Raw genomic sequence first — 20,119 nt, 5'->3', positions numbered from 1 at the left:
GGAAACCCAGGCCCTCGTCCCTCGTGTCTCGCCAGGCTTCGTGAGCTTCGACAACCCGGCCAGCGCGCAGACCGCCATCCAGGCCATGAACGGCTTCCAGATCGGCATGAAGAGGCTCAAGGTGCAGCTGAAGCGGCCCAAAGACGCCAATCGCCCGTACTGAGCGCCGGCGGGAGCGTCCCCCGGGGGAGACCAGGACTCGCACAGGTAACCGGGGGCGGCCGGGGCGCGGGGACGGGGGTTGGGAGGGAACCAGACGGACCCGCCGCCTCCTCCGGCCTCCGTGGGCCGGACCCTCACTGGTGCCTTGGACCCGCTGCGCCCGGCTCAACCTGCTCCTCGCCCTGCTCCTCGGGCCAGGCGCAGAGCTGCCGTCACCCCGGCAGAAATGGGCCTGGCCATTTCCCTGTGGCAGGGCCACCAGGGGCAGGAGTGAGGGAGCCACTCCGGGCGGGTGAGGCGAGCCCTGGGCCTGCGCCTCCGGGTCTACATTGGCAGTCCTGTTGGCCAGAGAACCCTGGGGTGAACAGGTGGCAAGCTCAGGCTGAGGGAGGTTGGGGGCAGAACAGGCTCTACCCAGAAGAGCTGCAGCCGCCCGCGGGGCCTGCTCCCAGACCCCCGGCTCTCTCCTCCCCAGTTCTTCCAGGAGGGCTGGTAGCCTTTAGACACTTGACCCCTGCACCCCTGTCTTTCCCCATAGCTCAGTGAAGAGAGGAAGGACAGGATCTTTCAAAGGGAACTTTACTAAGAAACAAAGCAGGATGGGATGAAAGCTGAGGAGGGTGATGGTACAGCACTGAGATCCCGGGCCCTGCCTGCCCCACACGGGTCATGATGAGTGGTCGTTGTTACCTTTTCTGCTGGGCTGGGTCCTGCCTAGGAGCTGAAGACACAGTCAGCCACGCCTCTTCCAGCCCACGTGTTCCCCTGAGCAAAGTTCTTCCTGCAGAAAGAATGGGGGGAGATTCCCCAGGACATCAAAAGTCAACCTTCAGAATGGTTTCCCCCAGTGCTGTGGCTCTTGCAGCCTCGGCTTCTTCACAGAGCAGAGGTGAAGGCTCCTTTCGGGCCTTTCCAGCTCAGCACCCTGCTGCCCTCTGACCGCCCCTCCCTGCCCATGTTCCTCCATTTATTCAGCAGTATTGTGTGCCAGCTACTGTGTTAGGTACTTGGGGTTCAGCAGTGAGCAAGATTGAGAAGGTGGAGACAGACAATAAACAATGACGTGTGATCAAAGAATATGATCTAGTATGTCGAGATTGTTGGCTACAGTTAAACCACATGGTCAGTGTAGATCTCACTGAGGAAGTGAATTGGAGCATAGAAGGTGAGGGAAGCAGCCATGCCCCCGCCTCTGAGGGAACAGTCAGTATGGAGGCTGCAAGGTGGGGCTGCAGAGTGGAGTAGGAACAGCAAGAGACTGGGTTGCTGGGAGAGTGAGGAGGGCCACCTGGTGTGGGGCCTTGAAGGCCACTGCGTGGACTTTGGTCTCTTCTCTGAAATGGGAGATGGAGAGAGCATTGGAGAGTTCTGAATAGGAGAGTGATGGGTAACTTGCATTTCAGTGGGGTCACCCTGGCTTCTGTGTTGACAATAGCTTGTAGGGGGCCAAAGCATAGGTCTACTGCACTGACCACTCAGTCCAGTGTCACAGCAGTTGATGAGATGTGAAGGAATTAATTTCTAGGTGTATTTTGAAAGAGGAGCCAAGGATGAGTCCCAGGCTTTTGGCCCAAGTCACTGGAAGAACAGAGGGATTGGGAGAAAGATCAGGCATGTGAAAAATACACATTTGAGTTTCACAGTCCAGAGTTTGGGAGGGAGGTCTCCAGCTTCCCAGTCTCCCCTCAAATCTTCCACCCAGTGCTGGGGTACAGATACCAGCAGAACACCCTTCCTCCACCCAGAAGTAGCAACTCTCACCCTCAGAGAGCAGGGGCCTTCTCTCTGGGGGAGTGCTTGTGCCTCCACTCTCTGCAATCCTGGAAAAGCAAAACCAGTCTTTCCTGCCTCCTGGTTTCCCATCCTTGCCCATTTCTGGCTTGTTTCCCATCCTTGCCCATTTCTGGCTTGTGTCCAGATGCAAACACACATGTTATTCAGAGTTTGGGCACCTTCTTGTGCCAGGCACTGGGCCCAGTGTGGGGGATGCAAGGATGAATGAGTCACCATCCCTGCCCTCGAGGAGCTTCTGGCTCTGTGCACACACAGACACCAGGAGGCAGCTTGCAGATGGGGGCATTTCCATAGGAATGGAGGGACGGTTTCGTGAAAGCAGCTTTTTCTGTATATAGGACACTTTTTCTTAAATCAGCATAGCTCTGCCATTAAGGTGTGACCTGGGTTAGGGTGCTTGTCCTCTTTGGGCTTCTTTTTTCTCATTAATGAGACTAAGGTGTTAGAGTCAACTAGAGGATTTGGGGGTTAGGGGGATATGAATCAGGCAGGGTCATGTCCCGAGATTCCAAGGGGCACCCCTGAAAGTAGCTTGTCTTAGCCTCCTTGGCTCAAGCCAGGATAAAACCTCTAGGTTAGAAGAATTCCCAGATGAAGGAGTGAGAAGGCAGGTTTATTGTTTGGGATATAAGGTCAGAAGTGCCCACAGGGTTGAACCAGCTGGCATTCAGAGTTGGGGTGGGGGCTTGGGAGGAGTGGTTTAAAACACAGAGTCGGTTCTTCCACCAGGGCATGCAAAGGGCAGAAAGATTAGAACCCTAGACCTTCACACAGTGCTTACCATGCACCAGGCACTGCTCCGAGAAGTAACAACTAGGAGATGTTAACTACATAGCTACAACTACCTATAAGGTAGGTAGTGTTAGTATTTCCATTTCACAGATGGGGCACAGAGAGATTAAGTAGCTTGCCCATCAGCTAGTGAGTCACAGAGCCAAGCTTTGAAGCCAGGGAGCCTTCTCCCCTTCAAGTGAGGAGAATGAGAAGCCCCACCCTACCCTCACCCCAACCTATTACCCCAGAGTACCCTGAATGTCCTGAGGGAGTACATATGACACCTCACTTTTCTGGGGTCAGCCATCTAACCACCTCCTTTCTACTAAGCAGTCCTTTAAAAAACTACTATGTCACATAACTCCTACAGTAAGGTTGACATTTAATTTTCATTTAGACAGTATTTTAACGAATGGTGCTGTCAGGCTTCCCAGCCCAAGACTGTTGGAAGCTCTAATAGAAGGCGGTTGCTAAGAAGAGATAGAGAGCTTCTCAAGGCAGCCTTGGGGACTGCCTTGAGGCAGTGGCTCAATGAGAAGTGGCTGCCCTCGGACTGCCAGCGAGGGAGGAAAAGGCACAAAAAATCAGCTAAAATACTGCCTGGTATCACAGGCCAGTAAAGGGTATTCATTTGTGCTGAGGCCTGAGCTGCAGCCCCAGGTGCTCAGAAGGGCAGGAAGCCTGAGCAGGGGCCGAGGGACCAGCCATAGCTGGGAGCAAAGTGGGAGGTGGAAGGGGGACCTCAGGGCTAGGGCAGCTGCCCCATGGTGGTGCAGGCTTTCTAAGGCCAAGTCAGAAGGGAGTGGGGACAGACCTAGGGGAGGGAGAAGGGCCTAGGCAGGGCAGCTGTGGGGAGTACAGTTGGGCTTTGGTTCCATGAAGCAAGGTCCTGAGTGGGGTGGGATTAGGGTTGGAGTCAGTGACTCTCCTTCCTGGCGGGTTTTCTGCTTCCCCACTGCCCTACCCCTCTGGTGGCTTGGGTTTGTTGTCTTGTGCTAAGACTGGAGTTTCTCTAAGCAATCTTTGCCAGGAAATAAATAAGGAAGGAAGCAAAGGCAGGAAGAGTAGGCAAAAACATGCATGTGGCCAGGTCCATAGCCAGCGGGCAGAACACACCCAGCCTGGCCCCGCCCAGCTCAGAGATTGGCCTCTGAGCCCCTTGTTCCGCCACTGCTTACCAGACACACTGGGCCCCAGCAGCAGGCCAGGTTCTCAGACTTCTAGCACTCCAGTTCTATGGCTGGAGAGTGCACCAAGCATCTTGTCCTGACCCCAGTGAGTCCTGTGACTCTGGCTCTGAGTATGCTTTTGGAGAGTGTCGGGTCCAGGCTTTGCAGGCACAGGTGCTTTGGGTCTGACCTATACAGGGCCAGGCTGTAGCTTTCGGCCTGGCCCTCCTTTGCTTGAGACCAGCTGATTTTAGGACCTGAGATCTGAATTGGTTCAGCTTGGCCATAATTTCCTCACCCAGCTCGGTGAGTTGGACTTCACCATGCCGGTCAGTGATCCCACTGCCACACCTAGGGCTGTGCTCTGTGAGCCTCCACCCCGAGAGTGGTCGGGAAGGGGTCACCCTGCAGGCAGAAGAGGAGCTGCTGCCTAATGAAGACAGTAGCCAGCTGAGCCCGTGGAGTCTTGGGGGCTCCTCAGGGACTGAGTGTGAGGGTGTGTTATGTGTCTAGGGCCACACATGTGTGAGAGATGAGGGTATGTGTGAGGAAGTTCCCTAGATTGAGCTTTAGGGACAGGGGCTGTGTGCTATTCAGGTTTGTGCTGCAGTACACAGGACAGTGCCTGGCCCTGACAAGCGGTTGCACTCTAAAGCTGGGAGAGGAGCAGGCAGAGTGGGAAGGAGTAAACGCCCATGAAGGGCTCAGGGCTGGAATGGAGGGAGAAAGAGGAGAGTCCCAGGGAGTCCCTGAGTTGCAGTTGCCACAGCCCCCATCTGATGGCAATACCCTCCTTAGTTCCTTAGGCCTCTTCTCCCGTGCCAACGGGAGCTGCCCGTTGGCCATCCTGGGTGGGTCTAAGGGCTTCTGGGAGGAGTTGGAAGTGGCATTTCAGGACTTGGTGGGCATGGGACGGTCCCTGATCTGGGGGAAGGAGATCCAGTGTTGGAAGAGCAAAGAACCCAGCCCTGGTGGGCAGGCAGGCTGGGGTCTGCAGAGGAGGAGTCTAGGGTGCTTCTGTGAAGGTTGAGCTGGAGGCCGGGCTTGGGCTCAGCTTCTTTGCCCCTCATCCACAGTGATATTTTAAGATCCCAGGCCTCCCTTCCTCCCTCCCTCCCTCCCTGCAGGAAAGCATAAAGCTGAGAGTGAAAGTCTGCTGTATGTAGAAGCCTGTGGACTGGAAAGCCTGCAGATCAACCTGGCACACAGGCCTTGGCCCAGGCCTGAGTGCCACAGGGGAGCAGGGAATCCAGTGCAAGCTCAAGATAACTATGGGGAGGGGTGGAGCTAAGGACCCCAAAGGGGCCCAGGTGCAGCAGAGGACTATGAAGTGGTGAGGGGTGGAGAAGTCAGCCGAAAGTTGAATCACCTGATGATTCCTGATAGCGAAGAGAACTCATTCTCAACTACTTAGGGCTCCACCAGGAAAGAAAGCTGAAGGTTGGGGCCTTGCGGTGGGCCAGGCTGGAAAGCTGTTCCTGGAGGGGTATGGGGTGAGAGGGTGGGAAAAGAGGATGGGGTAGGGAGGAGGGGAAGTCAGCAGAGCAAGAGTGGGAGCAGCAAAGGCTGGAGGCGCTCGCCTCTGTGCCCCCTGCAGGGGACCCTCCAGCCTTGCACATGGCCCCCTGCAGGGCACCCTCCAGCCTTCCATGTGGCGCTTTTATGGGTCAGGGCTGCAGAACCTTCGAAGGGCTTCATGTGCCTAGATGCAGCCTCAGTTTGGTTACACAGGCCACTTGGGAGCAAGGCAAAGAGTGTGAGCAAAGAAAGAGGGTAAGGCAAATGCAAGATGAACTCAGTAGTGCCAAGGCATGTTTCTAGAATTCCAAGAACATTGATGAATTTTACCCTAAATCTCAAAATGAACCCTGCTCAGGTTCTGAGGAAAGTAATTTGAGGTGGAGCAGAAACGGGGGAGGGCCATAACCTCCACAGTGGGTGCCCTTGCAGCCTTCTCTAGGATGGTGGCCAGGGTGGGTCCACAGGGTGGGAGGGCCGAGCTGCTGCCAGCCTGGGTGGTACTATGGCAGCAAAGCATTTTGTAGATGGACCCCGTGGACACAGCAGTTACCATAGCAAGCCTCTGACCTACCCAGCTGACCAGGGCCACCTTGACAGACATCCCCTGCTGGCCCACAGGCTGTAGTCACAGAAAGCTGAGGAGGGAGGGAGCGCCACCCCTGGGGGAGAGAAAGAATCAAGGGTGATGAAAAGCAGAGCGCCTGCTCCCTGAGATTGCTTGCTGGCCAAGGTGGTTTGAGGGGCTGTTTTATTTTTTTTCTGGCCCCCTTGCCAAACCGCCCATGCCCCCCTCCCCAACGCATGATGGATGCCCTTAGTGGCCCTGTGTGAGGTTCTGCTTCTGTTCACAGTGTATCATGTGTCTGCATAAACAACCGTGTGTGTGTATGTGTGTATGTGTGTGCGTGCGTGTGTGTGTGCGTGTGTGTGTGTTGATGTGCCCATGTTTGTCTGCTGGCTTCCTCCATCCTTTGAGTTCTTTTCAGTTCTCTTATGATTTGACTGCTGTTCTCTCATCAGAGCTTCTAGATTGATGCTGTGGTCTGGTGCTGTATAAATATATTTTCTTTTTAATTTTGTTTTAACTTCTTCCTTGCCCTCCTTCACCCAAATCCCAGCCCTCCCTGCCCTCCCACACTCCCCAACCCCACCTGCCCTGCCCCACCTCTTCCTTCCCCCACCCACACTCTCTTGTCCTCTCTCTCTCTCTCTCTACATATATAAATATATATATAAATCTTTTCTTCTTTTGTCATTCAATCAAATTCCAACAACCCAACCAGGGCCAGTCAAATCCACCACAGTCTCGCGCTGAGCTAGGAATAAAGTTCACGTAATCACATGAGAGTGGAGAAAAGTCCCCCATCCGTAAGTTCAAATCAACTCAAAGTTCACAGTGTGACATGATGGCGTCATGTAACAAGGCTAAGAATCGGTTGCATGACAATTGCCGTCAAGTTTCGTGGAGGTGCTGTGATTGGAGCGTTTTTCTTGGATGTTGTATCAGTTGATGATTGGCCAGTCATGATCACACGTGCATTTTCTTGACTTTTGTGCTGCCACAATCTTTTTTGCTGTGCTCATTTTCGTTTCGTTCTTGGTGCTTGCAGTGGTTTTACTTTCTGTTGTTTGGTTTTTCTTGTTCAGCGTTTTTTTATGCTTCTCTAGATGTCACATAGAGAAAAAAACAAAACAAAAGAACAAAAAATAGTCAAAATAAAGATGAATTCCTGAATTATCAAACATGGGATCATTTACCTGTGCAAACCATTATTTTTTTCTTAAAAATAAGGAAAACATCTTAAAAATATCTATGCGTGGTTGATTTACTTGCACTTGAAAATATTGTGATTTTATTTTTTTCTAGAAATTTGGGGGCCTTTTTCAATTGACACTTTCCTAGGTCTGGTCTTTTTCCAGTTAGGCTATTTTCAATCTCACTTCAAAGGGAAAAAAAACAAAAACAAAAAAACAAAAACAAAATATCTACAGTAACAGAATGATAAAAAAATTCTAAACCAAAAAACTAGAGTACAAAGCCAGAGGCCTCTGCAAGAGAGCCCGGTAACAATTGTAAGGTTTGTATTGTAACCACTTCTGCTAAATTAAATGTGGGGAGGGGAGGCTGGGGACTGGGGGCTCGGGAGGGTTTTTTTTGGTTGGTTTGGAAGAAACAGTACTAACAAAAGCAAAATGCACCTTTTTGTTTACAACTGAAAAAGGGTCCTTGACAAGTGTTTTTTAATTTTATTATTATTTTATTTGGTGTTGTAATTGTTTAGACTGCTGTGTACGGTTTGCTGTTTGTTGAATCAACAGTGTGAAAAACCTGCCAGCATGGATTGATATACGCATGACGTTGTCCCCTCAAGTGGGGGCTTTGCAGTTCTAACTTTCTTGATGTAACCAGTCACCCCCATGTATAAGTGGAAGCTGCTTGCTAGAATGGAGATGAGTCTCATTTGTTAATTCACAATGATTAAGCATTCGCCTTCTGATTCTAGTCAGATCATGATTTTTTTAAAGCAAAACAAAACACCAAAAAGCCACCATTCAAAACAAAATCAAGCACTGTCTGAGTTAATTTATTTAAGTTTGATAATTAAATCTCTTCTGACCTTTTTTAGGTTTTCCCATCCACTCCCTTGAAGTTCTGAATTCCTCTAAATTCCCTGGCATGTATGAGAAAAGTATTATGTGTGTGTATGTGTGTATATATGCATATACATACACACATATCCATGTATATCCACATATGTGCAGGTGAATATATTCTACACATATATCCAGATATACATATATATACACAGCCTCGCAAATAGTTACTGACCCCGGGAAAGAAGTGGTTGGCTGGAAGCTGGGCAAGGATTCTACAAAATTTGAGTCACGGATGTGTCTTCCTTCTTTCCCTTGAGCTGGGAGGAGTGGGCTGGGCTGCTAGATTTTTCCTATCTTGTTTGCTAGGCTTCTGTATACATATTGTATCTGGGCTAGATCCCTCAGAGACAAGTTTAATTATGAATTCATATCCCGCAGTCCCAAATTCTCCCCTTAGATGTAGCTACCCCCAATCCAGAATGCTAAAGTAACCCAAATCAAGAACCTTCTCCCAACAACGAAACCTCAGCTACAACCATCACCACTAGACCTCCCAGTGGTTTCTACTCTGAATAGAAGAGTATATTTCTTTTTAATGTATCATGATCATGACTAATTCTCATACTGGTCTCTCTTCCTTCCCTCCCACCATCCCCTAGAGCTCCCATCCTAGCCCCTGAGGCAGGTTCCTATTGGTGTTTGGATGCTGTTTGTGTTTTCCCTCTTGGCTTAATCAGCCCTGATTTTCTTCATTTTAGGGCAGGATGCTGAACGGGCTACATTAAAAAACAAACCTCTCTCTATATATATTTATAAATGAGAACTGTTGGATGACACCTTTGACATATCAGCCAATATCAATCAAGCTGAAGACTCCAGACACTGTCTGTGTGACTGTAACATTTCTTCAAGGAAAGTATAGCGTCTATGGAGTTCAGAGGGCACGTGTTTGGGGGAAAATATATATGACATGAAGAAGAAGATGAAGAAAAATGAGAAAAAAACACACAAAAGGCAACTTTAAAACAAAATATCACGAGCAGACGGGGAGGCTGAAGGGCTGGGAGCTGGGAGGAGACGCTGCTTACCGATCCCGGGGCTTTTCCAGCCCACGGGCGCCTGACGCAGGCTGGGGCAAGTGGTGCGTGGGGCCTGGTCCCCAAGGGGCGGCTGAGAGGCCGCCACTGAGCATCTCTATCTGTCATTCCTTTAGCTATTTAGGGACCAAAGGACCAAACTTTTTATTGCAGATGTGTAGCTCTATGTCAAATAGAGGGGGAATGGAGGACCCCCTCCTTCCTGCCTCATGGCTGTTCTTGAAACAGCTTAGAGCGATTCTATGAAAAAATGTAATAAAAAATTAAAAAAAAAACAAAAAACAAAAAAAACAACAAAAAAAGGAAAAATAACGCTTCAATGCTTTTAAAACAGCAAGATAATAGTTCTTTGATACTTTGAGAGGCGCTTTGATGACCCTCATCCAAGTCTATGACACTTTCCTATGGTTTTCTGTATTCTATGTCTGGATGGAGCTGTTAAAAGATGAACAAATTGGTGGATATTTGGGGAAAGCAACACAAATCTTAAAACTCACCCGTGAAGTGTGAGAAAACAAGGAGGGGAACAAATGGGACTTACCAAGCAAGGTCATTGTTGTGAAAAGTCTGTAAATGCTTCTAACTCTTCCCCCTCTTAAAATCATAATAGTTGTACAGAATTTTAAAAAGGAAAAGTTTAAAATACCTATATAATAGAAGAAAAATTAGAGGAAAGCAAAAAATAAAAAAAAAAAATAAAAAAGGAAAAAAAAAACCTATAGAAGTTAGCATTACTGCTAAAATCCCAGATGTTGTAGGACTGTACTTTTGTAGAGTTTAGACAGAGCATCAATCCCTTCTCCCCGCGAGTGCAGTCGGATGCCGTTGTCCCCAAGGGCCAGGCCGAACTCGCCCCACACCTGCGGGCGCCTGGCTGCCGACGCCGGTGGAGGCCACGCCGTCGGTCGGGAACGGTCGCGTCGCCCGGGTCGCCGCCGCCGCCGCCGCCGTCATCCTCGCCTCTCGCTTCCCTCTGGGAGCTGCGCGCGCTTCACTCACCTTCCGCTTCACTCGCCTTCCACGCTTGCTCCAGAGACTTTCCGGGCAAGGGAGAACTGGGAACTTTCATCTTAAAACAACTAGACAACACACACACACACAAAACCTTAAAAAAGAGAGAGAAAAATAAACAATCTTTGAAGAATTTCTGAAACTGTTTACAAGGAATTTTGAAAAACAGGGATGTTTAAATGATGCCGGCTCTGTTTTTCTGTAAATAAATTTGCATATTTTGTAGGACTTTTAATTGTAATGATAGAGAAAAAAACAAGGAAAACTATTTAATGAAAGCACGATATTTATCTTTGGTAAATGACTTTAGAGCAGTTAAAGACATTGCTTAAAAAACTCAGAATCAGAAAAAACACTGAATTATTTAAGAACACATATATTTTAAAGTATAACATATTTATTATAATTTATTTGCACCCTTGGGAAGATTGCTTTGGCATTCTGCCTTGATTCCTTCTCATTGATGTCCAGGTCATCTGGAGGCCGGGGGTTCTCAGACCTACCAGTTTCCCTTTAGAAGAACAAATTTCCAGTTCCTCTAGGGCCTCCTGCCTTTCCTTTCTTTCTGTCAATTTTGTTGTTGTTGTTGTTTTTCATTTTCTTTTTTTCTCTTGACTCCTCCTTTTAGGATGTCCAGATGTAAAAAAAAAAAAAAAAAAAAGAAAAAAAGAAAAAAAAAAGAAAACAGCTGCAGTTCAGTACAACTGCTCTTTTCACACTCAACTCCCTAAAACTCCTTGTAACCTTCTGTAACTATTGGATGACGCTTTCTCCAGCTTAGCCCTAAATAAAGCACAGTTTAAAAAAATATTTCTTCATTGGTCTGTGCCTCTCGGACTCTGGCCAGCTGTGCCTCACAGCCCCAAGGCTTGCCCACTGGAAGTAGCTTTGGTCCTCTTTATGGAATCTGCCACACAGGCCCTCGTTCTGAGCCTCAGCATGTGAGGCTCTTCTGGGAGGTGATGGGAACAATAAAAGGAGGTCCTGTTCCACTCTAGGAAGAATCTCTCTGGACTGGTGTGTGTCTCTGAAAGTCCCCACTGCAAATTCATTCTTCTGGGTTCCTGGCAGAGGTGGCCACAGTGTCCAAGCAGAACAGAAAGGAGGCTACCTAGGCCACCCGACCTGAAGGCCGAGCAAGTGTTGGGTTGGGGGGGGAAGTTATGTGACACCTTAGGGAAGGAGGCAGTGGAGGGAAGAGGCCACAATAAAGGAAGAAGGATGAGGATGCAACTCCAAATTTACCAGCAAGCATCTTGCTCTTGGCCCCACACCTCCCGCTGCTTTGGCAGTTTGCAGGGATGGAGAAAACAGGATTCTGGGCCCTCAGTCAGGGTCCTGGTGGGGGCAAGGATGTAGAAAGAAGAGTAGGGGCCCTCCCCTGGGGCGTTTCCTGGCATGCTGCCTGTCCTACACTTAGATACGAGCTGGAGAGAGGTGTCCAGACCCTGAATGCCAGGGTGGGAGGGAAAAGCATTCCGAAGGAGGAAGAACACCACGCAGGACTTGGAGAGGGGCGGCAGGCCTCTGGAGAGGAGAGCCCAGACAGCTGCACACCAGCTGCATGCCTTCACCCAGTCCTGGCCTGGGACAGACCTTCTCAATCTTCACTATCCCACCTCCTTCCCTTCCCCTGCCCTCAGCTCTGCAGTCTGGTCTAGGAACGGGCAACTCTTTCCCAGGGCCCCCACCTCTCTCCACTGCTGAGACAGGAGGGCTGCCAAGTGAGGGGCAGGGAAGCTGCAAGGTTCAGATGCCTGGAGGAGAGAAGACAAGGCCCCAGAAACAAGGGTCATTGACTGCCTGTCAGTCTGTGTCCCCCTGTGGGAGATGGGGAAATGGCTTCGGTCCCCACCTGTCTCCTCTGAAGGAGGGTATGGAGAGTAGAGCTCAGAGCCCCAGCTACAGAGCAGTGCCTGGATCCCATGCTCCATCCTCTCCTCCCATCTCTCTTTTCAGGGCCAGGGGCCAAATCTGTGCTTCTGATGTTGGCCTGTGATGCATTAGGCTGGAGAGAAAGATCTTCGTGTATCAGCAAATAAGGGAAGGCCTTCCAGCCTTGACCTAAATGTGGACATGGTTCCGAGAGAGGGACTGAGGAGACCCTGAATGTCCCCTAAACTAACCCCCTTTTGCTGTTCAACAGGGCTGCAAGTCCAAGTGACAGCCTGCTGTGTCCATTCTAGGGAGCTGCACTTCTTGGAAGAATTAGCTTCAAGGGGCTGGATGTCAGACTGGGTATTATTCTGCCCTGAGAAGAATGGAAGGTGTTTTCTAAGAAATTCTCTGGGGAGTGGGGAGGTGTCTTTAGGTTTTGAGCCTCCGACTAGTCAACACGGTGATTTCTGTTGCATACCTGCAGCTGAAAGAGGACAGCCTCAACCCCCAGCACCCCCTCTTACTCTTTCAGACCCCAGGAAGCCTCCCAGAGATCCCCAAGTGACCTCCCCAGACCTCTCCTGTTTGTGTCCACCTCCCCACTGTGTACCCTTGTCTCTGGGACATAGCCCTCCCCTACCTCCACTTAAAGTGTTGTAGCTAAGGGCTTAGGCACCCTGGGAGCTGTCACCAGAGAGATGGGCTGTGAAGCCAGCCAGGCAATTTCGCCCTCTTCCGGGTATGGCTGACTGAGAGGGGAGCTGACAACACTGGAGCCAGATATGAACATTCCAGTTCTATAAAAGAAACCTTCAATGTAAAAACCACGCACCAGGTGACTGATACATGCATAGCACACTTAAGAGAGAATACAATTTATTAACCTCTGGGGAAAAGAGATTCCTTGAAAACTTGCTGGAAACTACTGGATCACTTTGCACATGATTATGGAGAGAGAGCTCAGGGATCCCTGCAACTCATCCATCACTCCCTGGTTAAGAACTCCTGATTTGCAATGTTAGTTAAGAGAACCCAAGACAAAATTCTTGTTGATTTCTGCTTCTATTCTATGGCTTTTATTCCTTTGCTATTATCCTATATGCAGTGTGTGGCTTCTTCATAGCACCCCTATTTGTAAAAGACCTTTTGCTTATTATTAGAAACTTTTTATTTCAAGCACAAGAAACAAGAGTAGAGACACTTGCCTAAGGAATCCCTTAGGCAAGTACTCACTACCTAGCTTCAGCATACCTCAACTCCAACAGTAGTTTGACAAAAATCCCAGGTATCAAGTCATTTCATTGCTAAATGCCTCCACTTCCCCTTAATGTTTTCCATGCTGCATTGATGTCTGCCAGCTGGCTCTGGCCTGTTGGGCATCTGTAACCTTGCTGTGGCAGCCGCTGGGGAACTTGGCCTTCATAGCCTCACCACAGCCTTATCCTGGGGTGGAACTGGCTCCTGGTGGGAGCCCCAGGCTTCTCTCCAGCACCTCCCCAGGGCAACTGCACCTGTTCCCAGCAGCACTTTCAAAGTCCTTCCAGCTCTTCCTCCAAAGCTTTGTAGTCACAGCTTCTCTTTTCTCTTTCTTCTCCTTTTATCCTCCTATCTCTGTGATGCTAGTATGAAAAAGTTATGTTTATATGAGACTTTTCATTTAATGCTCCCATCTCCCTCTGTGTTTTTCTAAAGATCTGACCTTTTTCCTGTTCTGAGCAGGATTACACCTCCGTCCCTCATGCTAAGCACTGGTAGAGAGAAACACAAGACATACTAGAGCTTCCCCACTCATGCAAGCACTGCCAAGGCCTCCATCCTCCAGGACTGCTGCTAGTCATCTGGGCAAAGCTGCAGATCCCCATAGCACAGGGTCTGCAGGGCTAGTGTTTGAATTACAGTGGATAAAACACAGATAAACATTCCCCACCTTGCTTGCCCACTTGGTAAAGTGGATAAGGGACATATGGCAGTGAGCTTAGGAAGCCCAGCCCAAAGTGACAGCATCAGACTTGGCTGTGAATGCCATTTGACTATTTACCCAAATGGAACCCACCCCCAAATAAAAATTATTAGCTACCATTGATGTACTACCTTCAACAGACTAGTGAGTTCTGGAAGTTGGATATTCAGTCAATATTGATTCATTCCTGCATTAATGAGTGAATAAGGAAGGAAGGAATGGACAAATTACGGACAACTGAAGGCATGTCCCAAAGAGGCAGCTGTTCTGGAAATACTCTTTAAGTAGTGACAGCACGTGGAATAAGTGTATAGTCAACACACCCTCCCATCCCCAGATAAATGCTTGCAAGTATAAGATTTTTATTTTAACTTTCTAGTTTCCTCCCCCTACTGACCCTCCCTCCATTTCTCTAAGCTGCCCTCCCTTCTCTCCTCAAGTTCTCCCCTTGGTTACCCCCCAGTCTCTGGTCCCCAACACTCCCAGGTGCCCCGGGACTTGCTAGTGACAGAGTGGAAGCCTGGAGAGCCAGCATCAGCTCCCCAGGGCCCTCTGTATCACCCTTTCTCCCTCTTCCTGCCAGCCTAACTGTTTGCCTCTTCAGGAAACTCTGAGCATCTCCATCTCTGCTTCTGCCCTTTGTGGAGCTCTAACCAGGACTTTCCCAGACTAGCAGAGGAGATGGAAGGATTAGGGTATCAGAGTGAAAAAGGCATGGACTTTGACTTCAGACCAGGATTAAAATCACAGTTCTCTCTAATACCTTCTGTGTCACTTTGGAAACATTACTTAACCTCTCTGAGCCTCAATTTCCTTATCTCTAAAATGGGGATAATATCATCCCCGAGAGTGTTGAGAAGTGAACAAGAGACAGCCACACTCAGCTACATTCCACCCCAAGGATTATCAGAGTGGCAAATTTCTTACAGCATAGATACTCAGAATGAATGGCTCAGGCTGCGATCTCATCCTCCTTCCCTTTTCTTAATTCCATTCTATTGACAATCCACCTCCCAACAGAAGCAAACTTGAACTTGACACAAGACCATTTTAGGTCATTTTTTTGTGAAGTCCAGTCAGCATATGCCACTCCCAGAGAATTCCTGTCATGCCGAGGTGCACACACCTCTGCCTCTCACTGCTCTTTCCAGGGACCCCAATTAGCTGACACTCCTGCGCCCCTGCTGCTCTCTTTGCCCTTTCCTTTCGCAAGAGCATTCCCAATGCAACTGTGACTGCTGCTGTCTGCAACCTTCCTCCTCTGGGCTCACATGGCCTCAGGCTGCATACTAATTTGGTCTTTGCATTTTAAAATTTTTTATCTATTTTTTTGAATAATGTATTCATATATTTCAAAATTCAAAACACAGGAAAAAGGAAACAATGAAGTTCTTCCCACCCCTGAATCCAGTCATCCATTTCTCTCCCTAGCAGCAGCCTGTGTTGCCAGTTCTTGTTTACCCTGCTCTTTAAGTGTGTGGGCATGGAGTGTGTAGGTGGAAGGAACTCAGCTGTCATCCTCATTTTCAGTGAGGAGACCCAGAGCCAGGCAGTGATGTGCCTAGGCTCCTGTAGCTGCCCCATGTGACTCCCAAGAGGTGAGCCCAGGCCTTGGGATGCTCGGGACCCACTGACTGAGCAGAGGCATCAGGGCCATCCAGTTCCACTCTTATCATTTGGGCATCATTCATTGAGGCACGGGTGTAGCTGTCATTTATGGGGTGCTGCTCTGTACTAGCCACTGCATTAAGAACTGCTTAGTTATAATCTCATCGAATTCTCACAATAATTCTATGATGCAGATGATATTACCCTACTTTACAGATGCAAAAACTGAGGCTCAGAGAGGTTAAGTCCCTCACCTAAATTACCCAGAATCAGCATTCAAGTCCAGGTCTAGCTGCATGGCTGTGCCCTTGATCTCTACATCACATCTCCCTCAGTTATAAACTCTCTGCACAGTTACTCCCCTCCAGCCCTTCTCTCATGTCTCCTACTCCCTTCTTTCTTCTGATTTTTTTTCTCAACAACCCCAATTTCACCTTTAAGAAATGACAGCATCTATATTGATCTAGGTACCAATCCTTTTCTTCCCTTCTCTCCTTGATTATCTTCTCTCCTTGATAGAGCTGGAGTTCTTAAAGGTGAGTGAGTAACAAGTTAGTAAACGTGTTGCTAATGGGTGCATAAGTCCCCCTCCTTGGTAGCACTTGCTGGTTGTAGGGACAGACAGGAGCTTTTATTATTAACAAGGAGAGAAAATTAAATTGTAATAAATATAATATTTATTAACATTTTATGGAGCTACCTGAAGTTCAAAAGCCTTTTGAGCTGTGTCAGCCATTTCCCCCAGTACACTTAACACTGGAGAAAATGATAAGCAAATTCTTAAGATCAGTGCAAACTGGAGGTGCTCAACTGGGTTTGCATTGATTTTAAGAATTTGCTTATAAAAAAATTAAGCTTATTGCTGGAGGTGGTGGCTCATGCCTGTAATCCCAGCACTTTGGGAGGCCGAGGTGGGAGGATCACGAGGTCAGGAGATCGAGACCATCCTGGCCAACGTGGTGAAACCCCGTCTCTACTAAAATACAAAAAATTAGCCGGTCGTGGTGGCGCATGCCAGTAATCCCAGCTACTCGGGAGGCTGAGGCAGGAGAATCGATTGAACCTGGGAGGCGGAGCTTGCAGTGAGCCGAGATTGCGCCACTGCACTCCAGCCTGGCGACAGAGTGAGACTCCTTCTCAAAAAAAATAAATAAATAAAAAATAAAAAAAAATAAGCTTTTTAAAATAAAGGGGAAAATTCAGCCATTTGTGAAGGCCCCATACTTCACTAATTGAGGCACAAAGATGCCTCTTGTCTTCAGGGTCTCCAACATGATTCATTGTTGCTGTTGCCTCTCTGTCCTTACCTATTCCTGGGGCCCAGCTCAGGGAGCCATGGGCATTGGGATGGCAGGAAGTCCAGAGGGCCCAGGAGCTGTCAACCTTGTTTCCCTTCCATTTCCTGCTCTCCTCATGGGAACCAAGGAGGGGCTTCAGGATCAGGACAACTGTGGGTCATTTTCACCCTGCATGGGCAGGATGTGGGCTTCTACTAAGGAGATCCAACACACATGCCCCAAGCTTCTCACTGTACTCCCGTCCTACACAGGGTCTCAGATCCCATTGTTAGGCCTTTTTCTTTGGGTTAGACCTGGGCCTCATTAGTTCTGCTTTTAAAATGAAAACTACCTGGGCATGGGGAGTAATTTGTTCCCTAACCTGCTGAACCAGTATTTATAGTGTACCTACTGAGCACAGCACTGCACTAAGGATTAGAGGTGAAGAGATGAAGATAGCACACACTGGGTACTTTCCAGGCCCAATGTGAGGTATGTTATGGGTATTATCTCTAATCCTGTAATTCTGCAAGGTGCTATCACCCTACCTTACAGATGAACAAACAGGCTTGGATAAGGTAGGTAACTTGCCCCAAACCACACTGTAAGAAAGTAATGGAGCCAGGATTCGAAATCAGCTGCACTAATTCCCCCATGAGGTTCCTTGACAAGCAAAAGACAACTGCACACTAGCCTGTGGGAACTGTGTTGGGGGCCCAGGACAGCCCAGAGGAGGGAAGGCAAGTGGCCCTGTCTGGGAAAGTGGAGACACCTGGGTCAGGTTTTGTAGGGTGAGCGGGTGTTACACGGACTCCATGGGAGGGGTCATGAAGGAACAAAGGACCCCAGACCGTCTGAAGAACTGCAAGATATTTTAGGTAGGCTGGGAATATGCTGGGGGAAGACACAGGCCTTGTTTCAAAACAATCTACCTACTTGTCATCTGGACACTGTCCTGGCTACTTCAGGGACACCATTCCAGTTAACCTTCGCAGCAATCCTGGGCCCTATTTTACAGATGAGCTTATATGCTGTATGAAAGTCACGTGAACCCCAGAACTGGGATTTGAACCCAGGTCTGCCCTATGGCAGACGCCGTGTATGTAATCTTCATATTACATTGGAAAAAGCTACCTATTCAAGGCACATATTCAAGGCATAATGGCTCCTGCCTCAAAAGCCTCCTTGCTGACTGTGCTTCCAAGCCTCAAACAGAGACACACAGCCTATCCACAGGGCAGAAAAGTGAAGTCAGGCCAGTCCTGGAAAGGCTCAGATCTCTCTGGCCTCAGATCCCTCCTCTGCAAAGTGAGCAGGCAGCCTGGGTCTCAGGGATTTGGCCCAGCGTCAGTGTCCCTGAAGCTCTCTGCCAAGTGCCGGGAAAGGGCACTGGAGAAGAGAGGTCAGAGGAGATGCATGACTGTGAGTACCCTCATCCTTGCTCTGGGTATGACAGTCACCCTGGAATGAGGGAGCTTGGCAAAGGGTTTTATCCTCCACTGTATTTTGCTCTTGATTCTGGGCAGGATCCAGCTCCTGCCTTGCCCTCAGTGCTGAGTGACCTTAAGAATCTCTGGGCTCAAAGCATCCCCTTTGAGAGTATTATGTGTCTTCAGCATTGACTTCAATATCTGGCATGGAGTAGGTGCTCACCAGTGTTTGCTGAATGCATGAGAAGAGGTGGGGAGTGGAAGCGGGGATGCCTTCCACAGGCCTCTTCTGAAGCACCCTGGGCCTGGCCCACTCTTTGCAGGGCCCCTCTGCCCCATGTTGCCCTAACTCTGAACAGGGATCAAAAGAAAGCCTGGTGGTTCAGGTCTTCCCAGTACTCTGGGAGCTCCTGGGATGACAGGCATTCGGGGCAGGGTCTCACTGGGGCCCTCAAATATGGCATATGGACACAGATTCTCATGCCATTCCAGATTTCTGGCCATCCAAATTCTCCCTGTCCTTAAGTCCTAGTCCAGGGTCCACCTACTCCAGGGGGTCTACTGGAAACAGAGCACCTGTTTTCTGACTTTCTAGTGCCCTGAGTGGGAACCACTTCACTGGGCTCTTGTTCCCATGCTGTTGTGTGTTGCTTTGTATGTAGTTCTTGGCCTACCTAATGGCCCTGAGGATCAGAAGTAAATGGTCTCTGTTTCCAATCTGTCTCCTAGGAGTGGACTGGTCAAAGAGAGTAGGCAGGGGCAAAGTAGAAGACTAAGGATTTAAACGCAATGTGCTGAAACATCAATGGATGATAAAACAAGTGGGTAAAAAAAAAGGTATGAGAAACAATATTTACATAGCCTCAAAGTATACCCCCACAAAATACTTATACATTACAAAGGGAAAGTTAGTAATTTTATTATACAAGGAGAAACCTGGCAGATACCACCTTAACCAGGTGATCAAAGTAAGTATCATCTGGAATGTAATATGTAACAAATGCTATCATGGGCCTCCTGGTCAGATGTGTTCAAAAGGAGACAGTGTCACTTATTCTTGCTGAGAATGCATAACCAGAATCTAATCATAAGGAAACAAGACAAACCCAAAATGTTCTATGAAGTAAATGGCTTGTGCTCATTTAAAGAGACAAGACAACTAAATGTAACTTGTGATCCTTGGCCAGAATTTCTTTCTTTTTTTTGTTTTTGTTTTTTGGTTACAAAGGATATTAGTTCAACAACTGGCAACACTTAAATAAGATCAGGTACTGTGTCAGCATTGATTTCTTAATTTTGATACCTGTACTGTGGTTATATAAGAGGCTGTCCTTGTTTAGGAAATATATACTGAACTTTTTGGGGAAATAAGGATATTAGGTCAGCAATTTACTCTCAAATGTTTCCAGAAAAAAGTAATAATACAGTGTTTATATGTGTGTGAGAGAGTATGATAAAGCAAACAAGTTAAATGTTAACACTTGGGGAATATGAGTAAAGGGTATAAAAGTATTCCTTGTGTTATTTCTAAAACTTCTCTGTATGTCTGACTTCAAAATAAAATGTATGAAAAAAATGGCTTGTTTGAACATTAGCTGGGTTAGCTTGGGGAGAGCGGTCAGTCACGTGGACCGGGCATTGCAGAGACCAATCCCCACCTGCTTCCTTCCTCAGACAATGCGCTGGGTAACATCAAAGGAGAGACCCCCAAACATAGACATGGAAAGCTTGCAACCTCGGCAGTCACAGCAGCATGATCAGGCCACCATGGTTTCTCCTCCAGCCCATTAAAAACACACTAGCCATGGCTCAGAAACAATTGGGGATGCCCTTCCCACCC

At 48.4% G+C, this 20,119-nt stretch overlaps 1 protein-coding gene across 125 annotated transcripts in view, besides 2 other annotated features; it reads left to right on the top strand.

The window, feature by feature from the left end:
* The window catches only part of CELF4 (CUGBP Elav-like family member 4), a 322,955-nt gene extending 311,825 nt beyond the window's left edge, over positions 1-11,130 (top strand). For 66 of the 125 annotated variants that reach the window (NM_001353722.2, NM_001353711.2, NM_001353725.2 and 63 more), the window contains 2 exons: positions 36-207; positions 8,777-10,934. In NM_001353722.2, coding sequence (NP_001340651.1) covers positions 36-163 — 128 coding nt within the window. In that variant the 3' untranslated portion in view covers positions 164-207; positions 8,777-10,934. Of the gene's footprint in view, positions 1-35; positions 208-6,703 lie in introns of all 125 variants that reach the window. The other 59 variants (XM_047437652.1, XM_047437671.1, XM_047437667.1 and 56 more) reach the window with 2 other exon arrangements.
* Positions 3,436-3,936: an enhancer, noted in NCBI's record as "H3K4me1 hESC enhancer chr18:34830001-34830501 (GRCh37/hg19 assembly coordinates)". NCBI's record gives its function as "activates a minimal SCP1, AML or CMV promoter by ChIP-STARR-seq in primed H9 embryonic stem cells {active_cell/tissue: H9 hESC(primed)}" and the evidence as "EXISTENCE:reporter gene assay evidence [ECO:0000049][PMID:30033119]".
* Positions 3,937-4,437: an enhancer, noted in NCBI's record as "H3K4me1 hESC enhancer chr18:34829500-34830000 (GRCh37/hg19 assembly coordinates)". NCBI's record gives its function as "activates a minimal SCP1, AML or CMV promoter by ChIP-STARR-seq in primed H9 embryonic stem cells {active_cell/tissue: H9 hESC(primed)}" and the evidence as "EXISTENCE:reporter gene assay evidence [ECO:0000049][PMID:30033119]".
* Positions 11,131-20,119: the final 8,989 nt, after the last annotated feature.

Source organism: Homo sapiens, chromosome 18, assembly GCF_000001405.40.
Source record: "Homo sapiens chromosome 18, GRCh38.p14 Primary Assembly".
NCBI lineage: Eukaryota > Metazoa > Chordata > Mammalia > Primates > Hominidae > Homo > Homo sapiens.
This window is presented reverse-complemented; position numbering and strand designations above follow the sequence as displayed.